The sequence below is a fragment of the Homo sapiens genome, chromosome 5 (assembly GCF_000001405.40).
Source record: "Homo sapiens chromosome 5, GRCh38.p14 Primary Assembly".
Lineage (NCBI taxonomy): Eukaryota > Metazoa > Chordata > Mammalia > Primates > Hominidae > Homo > Homo sapiens.
In genome coordinates, this window is record NC_000005.10 from 32934167 (window position 1) to 32946504 (window position 12338).

The window sequence follows — 12338 nt, forward strand, 5'->3', positions numbered from 1 at the left end:
CTAAATGTGGGCCCCTTCCAGGGGCCCTGGCTCAAGAGGAGCGGGTAAAATGGCCTCCTTTAACCTAAATCACCGCGGCCACGGTGCCCTCCCCCTCCGCCCTCCCGTTCTCCCATCAACAAGTTTAAGAAAGTTCTCTTCATAGAAAGCCTCATTATTGACATGGACACCCTCACTCAGAACACCCTCACCATACACCACTCCATCCCGCGGTGAGTGATAACAACTCTGTTTGTGTTTAATTAGCTCTTGGTTTATGGGGCAGTTTGAGTTTAGGGTGTGGCTGTTTTAGTTGGTTATGCAGTTGACAGAAATACATGTGTATTGATGTGGGTCCTCTCTGTATGCCCTCCCCCAGGCTCTGGTCTGAAAGCTCAACAGGCCCTCACTGCACTCCCAATGGAGGCAAATTGTTGCAACTTCTATGGTTCAATTTTATTCCATAAAGCTGGAATGGTAACGCGTGTTCTCGGTCTCTCCATATCTGGCCAGGTGAGGGCCCATCTTGCTTATCACGAAGTAGAACTATTGATTGAAGCATAGTGGCTGCTCGGTTTCACAGGGCTGGAGGACAGCACAGCTTTAGAAACTACTCCCCAGGCAGCTGGCTGTGTGCCCTGACCCTAAGTGTCATCTGTTTATTTCTCTTATTTTTAAAATCATGTCCCTCATAGGATCCATGTCATGACTTATATTCACAAAAACATCTAAAATAGAAGCATGATTATAAAGCGGTGGATTATTTTTTGAAACAAACATTACAGAATGTACTCATCTAAATGTGTGTTGTCCCTTTCAAAGTAATCACTTTTGAAAGTTGTACACATATTCCCCAAATGGCAAGATTATGTAACATATTTCAGAAATTCTTTGAAATTATTAAATATGTATGAGGCATCATATGTAAAGACAAAGCAAAATCACAATTTTTTAAATTTAAAAATAATACATGTTCATACTGAAATTTTAATTTTTGTCTTGTTCTTATTGTTTTCTGAATTCATAATTAGAATCCTAAAACCCAGAGACAGGCATTTTTAATGTGTTTTATATATATGGGGATATATATTTATAATTTCCAGTCTTTTTTCCTGAGTTTCGTCCTACTGAATAGACTCAGAAGTGAGAAATCTTTGTCCTCTGAATGTAATTTCAAGCTTTGGAAACTAATTCCATTTTGTTGAGTTCAGCAAATATTTATTGACTGTCTCTACATGCAAGGAGCTGACTAAGTGGAATAAAAAGATTAACAAGATGTATTCATATTGACTTTTTAAAGAGGCCATTAACTGGTTCAGAAGGAGATGCCAAATAGAATTATAGAAAATATTCTGAACAATTGCAACATCATTGGAATAGGTGTGTAGTCTCCCAAGAGGACAAATTGAGGGGACAAATTACACAGTACACATAGTTGTGCAATTCCTGGAATGTTACAAAATGAACGTGGTCCACATCATGTGCTGAATAAAACTATTGCAGCCACCACAGCTCGGAACTAAAACTAGCCTAATGCAATGGTAAAAAATAGGTAAGGTGACGCTGCTCCCAGTTTGTCTGGGACAGTCCTGCTTTATGCCTGTCATCTTGATAAAATTAGTAACATTGCCCCCTTTCCTCTCCGAAGAGGACTGGCCAGGAGGACCAATTCATGATCTCCTTAATAACAGAGACAATTGATGTTGGTACCTTCCCCCATGCCTCCGAGTCTGTAAGAGCAACACTTTAGTTAGTCACATGCTCTAGTTTCCTAAAAATACAATGAGCCAATAAACAATGAGATGATGTCTAATCTTAGCTTTTTATCAAGAAGACACAGGTTGAAACAAGTTGTTACCAATAATTAAAGTCAGTAAGAGTGTAGTAGGTGGATTCTACTACACTCTTGAGTGTGAGAAGAAGAATTTGTTAAGATCCCTAATGGTAATTTTATTATAGATTTCATATTATCTGAAGGTGAAGATTGTGGATTTTGAGCCAGGCTGCCCAAGAATGAATCCTAGCTGCACCACTTACCAGCAGTATGATCCTGGGAAATTATCTACCCTCTTGGTGCCCCAGCTTTCTCATCAGTAAAATGGAGATAATAATCATATTTATCTCATGGGATGGCTTTAAAGATTAAATGATGTTTACATCCTATTACATCCAACATACATACAACTGAGCTCACTCCTGATGAATGGAATGATCTAGGAAGCGAAACTGAAACGCAGCGAAATTATCCATGTATTCAATCCTTTGACAAATGAGTTGGAGGACAAATAACAAATCAAGCACTATTCTAGACATGGTGATATCATAACAAGAGAATGACAGATAGGTTTCCTGTCCTCTTCTTGCCTGGAGGGCAGGAAAAATATTAAACACCTAATTATAGCTAAAGTATGATGAGTGGTAAGGTAGCACCATGCATGAGGGAGCCCCAGCTGAGCACAGGAGGTGGGGAAAGCCCCCTGTTGAAGTGACACATGGGTTTTAATGGGAAGGTGTAAGGAAAGCGCAGTCTGATGAAAATATCTTATACCTCAGCCAATCCTAGTTTGTTAAATAAAGTCAAGTTACTGTGAAGATTATTTATTTATTTATTTTATTATACTTTAAGTTTTAGGGTACATGTGCACAACGTACAGGTTTTTTACATATATATACATGCGCCATGTTGGTGTGCTGCACCCATTAACTCGCCATTTACATTAGGTATATCTCCTAATGCTATCCCTCCCCCCTCCCCACTCCCCCACACCACGACATGCCCCGGTGTGTGATGTTCCCCTTCCTGTGTCCAAGTGTTCTCATCATTGTTCAATTCCCACCTATGAGTGAGAACATGCGGTGTTTGGTTTTTCATCCTTGCGATAGTTTGCTGAGAATGATGGTTTCCAGCTTCATCCATGTCCCTACAAAGGACATGAACTTATCCTTTTTTATGGCTGCATAGTATTCCATGGTGTATATGTGCTACATTTTCTTAATCCAGTCTATCATTGATGGACATTTGGGTTGGTTCCAAGTCTTTGCTATTGTGAACAGTGCCGCCATTAACATACGTATGAGACAGAGACTTGCTTTGTCGCCCAGGCTGGAGTGCAGTGGCATGACCTTGGCTCACTTCAAGCCCCACCTCCCAGGTTCACGCCATTCTCCTGCCTCAGCTTCCCAAGTAGCTGGGACTACAGGTGCCTGCCACCATGCCCAGCTAAATTTTTTTTTTGTATTTTTAGTAGAGACGGAGTTTCACCATGTTAGCCAGGATGGTCTCGATCTCCTGACCTTGTGATCCGCCCGCCTCGGCCTCCCAAAGTGCTGGGATTACAGCCGTGAGCCATCACGTCCAGCCTGTGAAGATTCTTAATACAATGCTCCTATACACTAATACACAGTATGGTCATCAGTTCAGGCTGGAGCATGAGATAGGCGCCTAACACATTGGTGCTTGCTCATTTGATTTTCAAAGTTTAAGGATTTTTCCTAGTGCAGAAGCCCAGACTGCTAAACCTTTGTCTAAAAGTGTGATCTCTTACATGGTCTTTCAGCAGTTGAGTTGTAAGAAGTGGCATTCTTGGAGGGTTATCCAAGACATTGAGTCTGTTCCCTTCTCTAAGCACCCTACATTTTCCCCTGGGACTAACTGCATTTCCAGACACTTTCAGAACTGGTCTGAACACTTTGAAATATCACACATTTTCAAAGTTGTTCTTTAGTTCTATACCATCGAAAATTGCCATCTGAAACCCACTTCTTAATTTGTTGTGACTATACTGATGGTTCAGTCGTTAAATAGTTCTGTGTCTCCTATGTGAAGTCCATGTATAATTTTATTTAGAATTTAGGGTATAGTTTTATCTCACTTCTAGATACTGGTGTACTTCTGCCTCCCTGATGAGGTCTTGGCTGCCAGGTCTTGGCTGGTCTTGGCTGCCAGGGAGGTCATAATTAAATGAGAGGCCCAGTCACAACAACCACATTGACTAGCAGGCACCTTTTCTCTTTGGCCCTGATTTTCTGTCTTATAAATTTATCATATATTTTGATAAAAGCTACCCCAATTTTTTGTGACAAAATGATGGGTATAAATAAACTAAGTATATAATATGTCATTTCCATAAATCATTACATATAAATAGACTAAGTATTAATATATTATTGAACAGTTTTAGTTACCATTAAAAATCTGGTAAAGCATAAATCAATGACAGAGAATGGAACTCAATAATTTTAGCTATAGTTGAGGTATAGGGAATGTTAGAAGCCCATTAAATCTGCCAGTTTGTACCCCAAACCCAGAGGTCCTAATAGCAAATTTTGTAGGTGCCCCGCAGAGAATGTTGACCTCTACCTATAGCTTGGAAACTCTGCTGTCCTAGAAGGAGATGGGAAAGGTCCCAAACCGAGGAAAGCTGAACAAGCATTATTACTCACTTCCATACACAGTATGTTCTCAGAGCTCAAAACTTAAAAATAGACCCTGGTAAAAGGCAGAATCCTTAAAGCATGCTGCATCTTGACTCCTCATGTCTTGTGCCTTTCATCTAATCTATTTAGACACAAGTAGAAATAAAATGAACAGCGTAAGAGTATGTGAAGCATAGAGATATTGTTAGGCTTTAGCAAAAGGGCAGAGCCAAAGTGAATGACAGAGTGGGGAGGACTTAGAACTCTCAGGATTCAGGATCATCTTGAGGGTTGTTTAGGAATCCATCTGTAGAAAGGAGAAAGGAAAGAAGGAGAATTACATTTGCCAAACATCTGCTGTCTTCCAGGCACTGTACTAAGTGCTTTTACATATGCCTTTCTTTTAATTATCACAAGATTTTTCTCTTTAAGATAAGCAATGGTATTCACATGCTTTCTCTTTAAGGAATGGGAAGGCTTACCCTATCCTTTTTTTTTCCCTGTTGGAAAATAATAATATGAATCATAGGTTTCAAGCATTTTTGTTTCTTAATCTATTTTTAATTAGTATTTTTCAATAAAGTTAAGAAATTAATTCTTCTCAATGTTAATTAAGATTATGTGCTTCTGGGGATAATATTGACAGTTTAGTTAAAAATAAAAGCTCTTCAATCAATCTTAGAGATGTTGACTCTAGCAAATCAAGTTCTAAGGATTGGGTGCAATTTCAAAAGCATGAAAAATAAAATAAGGGCAAGGATTGGATCAATTGAGACCACATTTTATCAAATACAAAACATGGCTTATGGTGTGACACTGGCAATCACATTAAGTCACATAGGCATATTAGTTACTACTCCTTTTTCTAGTCCCTCTATTATACATTATCTATCTATCTGATCATGAATAACAAAATGATATGTTTTTTCCTCCTGAAATTTACCATATGGAAAAGCATGTATTAAGGTGAAAAGGATTTTATACCTCTTTCACCAAAATTCCAAGTGTCATTCTGTAGTTGTTTGTTTTTAAAGATGTGAAAACTTGTAACTTGTTTATAGTACATGCCAGGCAAATAGACCCTTTTTTTTAGAGACTGGTCCGTGCTCTGTTGCCCAGGCTGGACTGTAGTGGTGCGATCATAGCTCACTGCAACCTCGAACTCCTGGGCTCAAGTGATCCTCCTGCCTCCATCTCCCAAGTAGCTGAGACAACAGGCATGTGCCACCACGCCTGGCTAATTTTTAATTTTTTTTTTTTGATATGGAGTTTCACTCTTGTTGCTCAGGCTGGAGGGCAGTGGTGCAATCTCGGCTCACTGCAACCTCCACCTCCTGGGTTTAAGCGATTCTCCTGTCTCAGCCTCCCCAGTACCTGGGATTACAGGCACATGTCACCATGCCTGGCTAATTTTTGTATTTTTAGTACAGATGGCGTTTCATCATATTGGTCAGGCTGGTCTCGAACTCCTGACCTCAGGTGATCCACCCACCTCGGCCTCTCAAAGTGCTGGGATTACAGGCATGAGCCACCACATCTGGACAATTTATAATTTTTCAAATTTTTTTTGTAGAGATGGGGGGTCTCGCTATGTTGCCCAGACTTGGTCTCAAACTCCTGGGCTCAACTAATCCTTCTGCCTTAGCCTCCCAAAGTGTTGGGATTGCAGGCATGAGCCACAGTGCCTGGCCATACTTTTTATAGTCACAGAAATGCAGAAATTATAAAACCTCAGAAAAAGAAAGGTGGCTGAAGATGATCTTGCTCAAACTCTTTATTTTATAGGTGAAGAAATGGAAGCCAAAAAAAGCTGAAGGAGACTGTTAAAAAAAAAAAAAGCACTGAGATTCCAGAGTTCCTCTCACCACATCATAGTCAAGATGTTGTTTTGAGTGTCATTTTGGCAAAAACCATACATACACCAGCAAATTTTGTAGGTGCCCCGTAGAGAATGCGCTTACTTATTTTCTTGGTTACATGGGATTGTAAAGCTTGAAATTCTTTCAGAGATCATCGAAGTCCAAACTGTTTATATAGAAATGAGAACAGGAAGGTCCTAAGAGGTGAAATGTCCAGTCACATAGCTAATGAGTGGTAGGCTTGAAACTGGAATCCAACTTTCTTAACTCCCAGGCCAAATATTCTCCATTCCACCACTGCTATCTAAGTAAGACAGGGAGGTCAGTGAGGCTGTTCCAAAGCACAAAATACTGTTATGTAAGGAATTGAAAAGGTGTTACTTCAACATTATGAACTTAGCACAGAAGCCTGCAGCAACTAGGGATTAGCAGGACTAATTCTACTTATTATTTATCAGCCCAGCATTGGAGCTCCTCTGGCAATGTGCAGCTCTGCATTAGCTTTCTGCTTTATAGCATAGTTACCTTGGGGAAAGCTGGACTTCAAGGTCAAATAACTTTCCTCAAGGTTATATATTCAGTCATCAGCTCAAACAAGTCGAAACTCAAGGTGCTCTTGGTTAAGTCCAACCCAGGACAAAATAGTAGAGCAGAAAATGTTCCATTTTCAGTATATCCTATTTTTTCCTCTATGTCTTCTCTTTCTGTTATTTTAACATGTGAGTGCTGGGACACATGGAACATGGATATACATAAGAAAAGAGAACCAGGAACTGGGAGTCTAAGGTGTCAGTAGCAGTTAGGTCAATAGTGAGAAGCCAAGACATACACGTGAGTTTGTAGCTAGTTTAAAAGATGGAGTCAGAGGCTAGCTAGGTATTCATGCAAATACATGAGCAAGGAATAGAAGAAAAGGTCCAGGTAGATATTCAGAAAGCAAAAACCAATAAGGATTAAAGAGGCAAAATCAAGGCCAGGTGCAGTGGCTCACACCTGTAATCCCAGCATTGTGGGAGGCTGAGGCAGATGGATCAGTTGAGGTCAGGAGTTCGAGACCAGCCTGGCCAACATGGTAAAACCCTGCCTCTACTAAAAATACAAAAATTAGCTGTAGTCCCAGCTACTCGGGAGGCTGAGGCATGAGAATTGCTTTAACCCGGGAGGCAGAAGTTGCAGTGAGCCAAGATTGCACCACTACACTCCAGCCTGGGCAACAGAGTAAGATTCTTTCTTAAAAAAAAAAAAAAAAAAGAAGAGACAAAACAAGATAAACTCAGATAAGTAAACAGCGAAGTATCACATTGTATATCATAAACATATACAATTTTTATTTGCCAATTATATCTTAATAAAGCTGGGGGGATACAAGAAAATATATGTCCACACAAAAACTTGTGTACAAATTTTCATAGCAGCATTATTCATGATGGCCAAAAAATGGAAACAACCCAGATTTCCAGCAACTGATGAAAGGAAGAATAGGGTATATCCATACAGTAAAGTATTTGGCAATAAAAAGGGAAGAAATGCTGGTACCTGCAGTAACATGGACAGATCTTGAAAATATTATGCTGAGCGCAAGAACACAGTCACAAAAGGTTACATAATATACTATTCCATTTGTATGAAATGTGAAGAATAGGCACATTTATAGACACAGAAAGTAGATTAGTGGTTTCTAGGTACTGGGGTAGGAGTGGGGGAGTGACTGCTAATGGCTATGCAGTTTCTTCTTGGGATGACGAAAATCTTCTGAATTAGATAATGGTGATAGTTGCACAACTCTGCTAATATCTAAAAACTGATGAATTGTGTACTTTAAAAGGGTGAATTTCATGGTATATGCAGTATATCTCAATAAGGCTATAAGAAGAAGAAGAAGGAGGAGGACGAGGGGGAGAAGAAGAAGAAGGAGAAGGAGAAGGGAGGAGGAGGAAGAGGAAGAGGAGGAGGAAAAGGAAGAGGCAGAAGAAAAGAAGACGAAGAGGAAGAAGAAGGAAGAAGAAGAAAGAAGAAGGAGAAGAAGGAGAAGGAGAAAAAGAAAGAAGAAGAAGAAGAAGAAAAGAAGAAGAAGAAGGAGAAGGAGAAGGAGAAGAAGAAGAAGAAAAAGAGATTCTCAGAAGTGACAATAACCCATTGCTTGAAACCAGGTGATTGCATGCTTTCTGTTAAGGCATAGAAGGGCCTCCTGGTGGTTAATTTGGGATTTGCAGGTAGAAGTTGGTAATACCTTTGCCTGAGATAGGGCATGTGTAGCCTGGAGAAGGCACGTCCATACACAAGGCACCCTGTCACATTCAGTCATTCACTCAGTACATATTTTCTGAGTGTCTACTGCGAGTGTCAGATACAGTGCTAAGTTCTTGACTTTTAGTGACAAATTATAAATAAAGCTCTTGACCTCCTGAGGCTTCCATTGCTAGAGAAGGCAACAAATGATAAAGGAATAAATGTAGATATTCACAAGTGCTTTGAAGTGACAGAAAAGAGATTAGCAATGGTGATGATGGTACTACTCTAGACGGGGTGGTCAGGCTTCTCTGAGGTGTCACTTGTGCGGACATCTGAGTGAAGTGAATAAAAGGTCCCTCAAGTGGTTTCTCCCAAGGCACTAATACTGCCCATCTTGTCCACCTACTTTGCACATCAGAACACTTCTAGCCCATTGTTAGTTATTTTACCTGCTGGAAAGCCCTGCTTTCTAATCTTTAGGATGATGAACAACTAAACTAACTGGCTCTTCTATTTGAAGAGACCCATGGTACCCTTCAAACCACTCACTTTGGTAGTGGTATATGCTTCTTGGTACTTTCCTTCTCTATAGATCATTGGATCATATTGATCACTTAGAGGGAGCAAGTGATGTTTAAGTCAAAGCTAAGACCGGAAGACCGAAGAGCTAAAGAATAGGGAGGTAACTACAGCAAAGTCTGCTGGGATTCAGTAAATCTGAGGCAGGCTGTTTCCCAATCTTTATATTGCTCCCTCTGCTCTCACTGCCAAGGAAAGAGGAAAAGAACTGTATTAGTTGGGATCTAACCAGAAAACCAGAAACACCAAAACTACCTTCAGCATCTAAAACAGGGATTCTGATGAAGGGAACTAGTTACACAAGTGATGGAGAAGTAGAGAGCCAAACCAGGCTGCATAAGCTTCAGTGAGTGAACCCCGAGGCCAGGCATTATCATCCGTCAGCTGGAAGGAAGTGGCACTCACCATGCCTAAGGGACTGAGACCACTTGACCAAAGCTGGAATTGTCGTGGGTCTGTCTGCTAGAAGGGACGTAAAGAAAATGTAGCTGCTACCAGAGCAACCACTAAAGGCTGGGGGCAGGAAAAGGGGAATAAAATACCTTGGGTTGTCCCTATAACCCCTGCCTTCTAATTCCCACAAATATTTCCCATGGGTGAAACCCAGCCAGAAGCCAGGCAATATGGGAGTATGGGGAAAGTAGCCTGCAGGAGGCTATGCCCTTTGTGATAGAAAGAAAAAACAGGGTAGGGGTGAGGAATAGATTTGAGGGCACATATGCCCAGGCCTATCGGACGAGCTGTGTGTGTGTACTGAAATGTTCCTAAGTACTTCTCATGAGGCAAGTTCTAGGTTAGGACCTTTCACAAACATACTCTCATTTAGTCATCATAGAAGTCTTCTTTTGAAAGTAGGAATGATTATCACCCTCTTAAAGATGAAAAATCCCAGGTTCACAGGGTTTGTGGAATTTGTTCATGGTATGATACTAAGTTAAGTACAGTGAAGTCAGGATTCAAATCCATCCCTGCCTGATTAGTAACCCTCTTCTCTTTCTATTGTTTTATATATATAGATATATATGAAGAAAAATATATATTTATATTTAATCTTTTTGGACAGTTTAAAAACATTTTTAAAAATTTTTTTAATTTTTGAGATGAAGTCTCACTCTGTTGCTCAGGCTGAGTGAGTATAGTGGTGCCATCACTGCTCACTGCAGCCTTAACCTCCTGGGCTCAAGTGATCCTCCCACCTCAGCCTTCTGGGTAGCTGGGACCACAGGCATGTGTCTCTATGCTCTGCTGTGTTTTTTTGTTTTTTTTTTTTTTTAATTTTTGTAGAGACAGGGTTTCAGCATAGTGCCCAGGCTGGTCTCGAACTCCTGGGCTCAAGTGCTCATTGCAGCCTCAATTTCCTGGGCTCAAGTGAGCCTCCCACCTCAGCCTCCTGGGTAGCTGGGACCACAGGTGTGCGCCTCCATGCCCTGCTGTGTTTTGTTTTTGTTTTTGTATTTTTGTAGAGACGGGGTTTCAACATAGTGCCCAGGCTGGTCTTGAACTCCTGGGCTCAAGTGATCCACCTGCTTCGGCCTCCCAAAGTGCTGGGATTGCAGACGTGAACCACTGCATCTGGCCTTCATTGTATTCTTGACCCCTCAGGATATTCTTGACCCCTCAGAAGGGGGCACATCTCCTTCCTAACCACAGATTTTTCCTTTTCACCTCTCCTGTGGTGCCCAGGCAACTTTTGAATAACAGGTAGAGTCTCTGTACTCTATCCTAAGACTAGAGTACAGGAAGATATGATCTTTGATTCAAGAGAAACCTCATTTCAGATATAATTGTTGATGTTACAAAACTATATTGAAACCATCTCTCTTGAGGAGATTTACATATTAACTGCTTTTGTTTTATCTACTGCAAAGCTAAGCAGAGATGCCTATGCCTACATTTTCAGAGACCAAGACTGAGTTTTATGCGTGGGGGGTGTTTGCTCCCGGGCAATGAGGTAAGAGACTAAAAGAGCGAGGGTGGGGCTTTCTTTCCCCAGATCTCAGGTGAAACTTCTAGGTTGACAGCAAAATCCTCCTTTCATTTATAAATGGACTATGTTTGCTCTGGAAGCATCTGAGAGGATAAATATGGGATCCCACAGAAGCCACAATGTTATTTTTACAGTGTCTTTTCTCATTATAACTTCAGTTCAAGTCTTGTTTTTTCTTCCTCAACCTCTGTTTTTTTCTGGGGGAAAGGGTGGTTGTGTTCCTCATGTGTGAATGCGTGCACATGTATGATTGTGTGTATGCATACACACATAGTAGAAGTTCTTTCTTTCTTTTTTTTTTTAGACGGAGTTTCGCTCTTGTCACCCAGGCTGGAGTGCAATGGCACAATCTCGGCTCACCACAACCTCTGCCTCCCAGGTTCAAGTGATTCTCCTGCCTCAGCCTCCCAAGTAGCTGGGACTACAGGCGTGTGCCACCACGCCTGGCTAATTTTTGTATTTTTAGTAGAGACGGGGTTTCACCATCTTGGCCAGGCTGGTCTCGAACTCCTGACCTAATGATCCACCCACCTTGGCCTCCCAAAGTGCTGGGATTACAGGCGTGAGCCACCACACCCGGCCCTACACATAGTAGAAGTTCTTTCTTCTTTTTTTTTTTGATTTATTTTATTTTAATTTAATTTTATTATGATTATGCTTTAAGATTTAGGATACATGTGCACAATGTGCAGGTTTGTTACATATGTATACATGTGCCATGTTGGTGTGCTGCACCCATCAACTCGTCATTTAGCATTAGGTATATCTCCCAGTGCTATCCCTCCCCCCTCCCCCCACCCCACAACAGTCCCCGAAGTGTGATGTTCCCCTTCCTGTATCCATGTGTTCTCATTGTTCAATTCCCACCTATGAGTCAGAACATGCGGTGTTTGGTCTCTTGTCCTTGCGATAGTTTGCTGAGAATGATGGTTTCCAGTTTCATCCGTGTCCCTACAAAGGACATGAACTCTAGTAGAAGTTCTTTCTAATTGAGGATCCTAAAAAGATGCAAAGACTGACTCTCTGAATAATGTTTACCTGACAAAAAAAATGTTTGCACCATTACTTTTCCTAATTTTTCCCACCTGGTGAGATTATCCTGAATTGTGGTATAAATTTGGTCATGTTCTACCCTGGAAAAATATGAACTCTAAAGAATGTACAAATTAAATAATGATTATGTGATGTTAGGTATATATACTCTTAATTATTTAAAGAGCCATTTGGTAGCAAGTATCATTTTAGTATTTCTAACAGGCACACTAATTTTATCCTGAGAGATATCA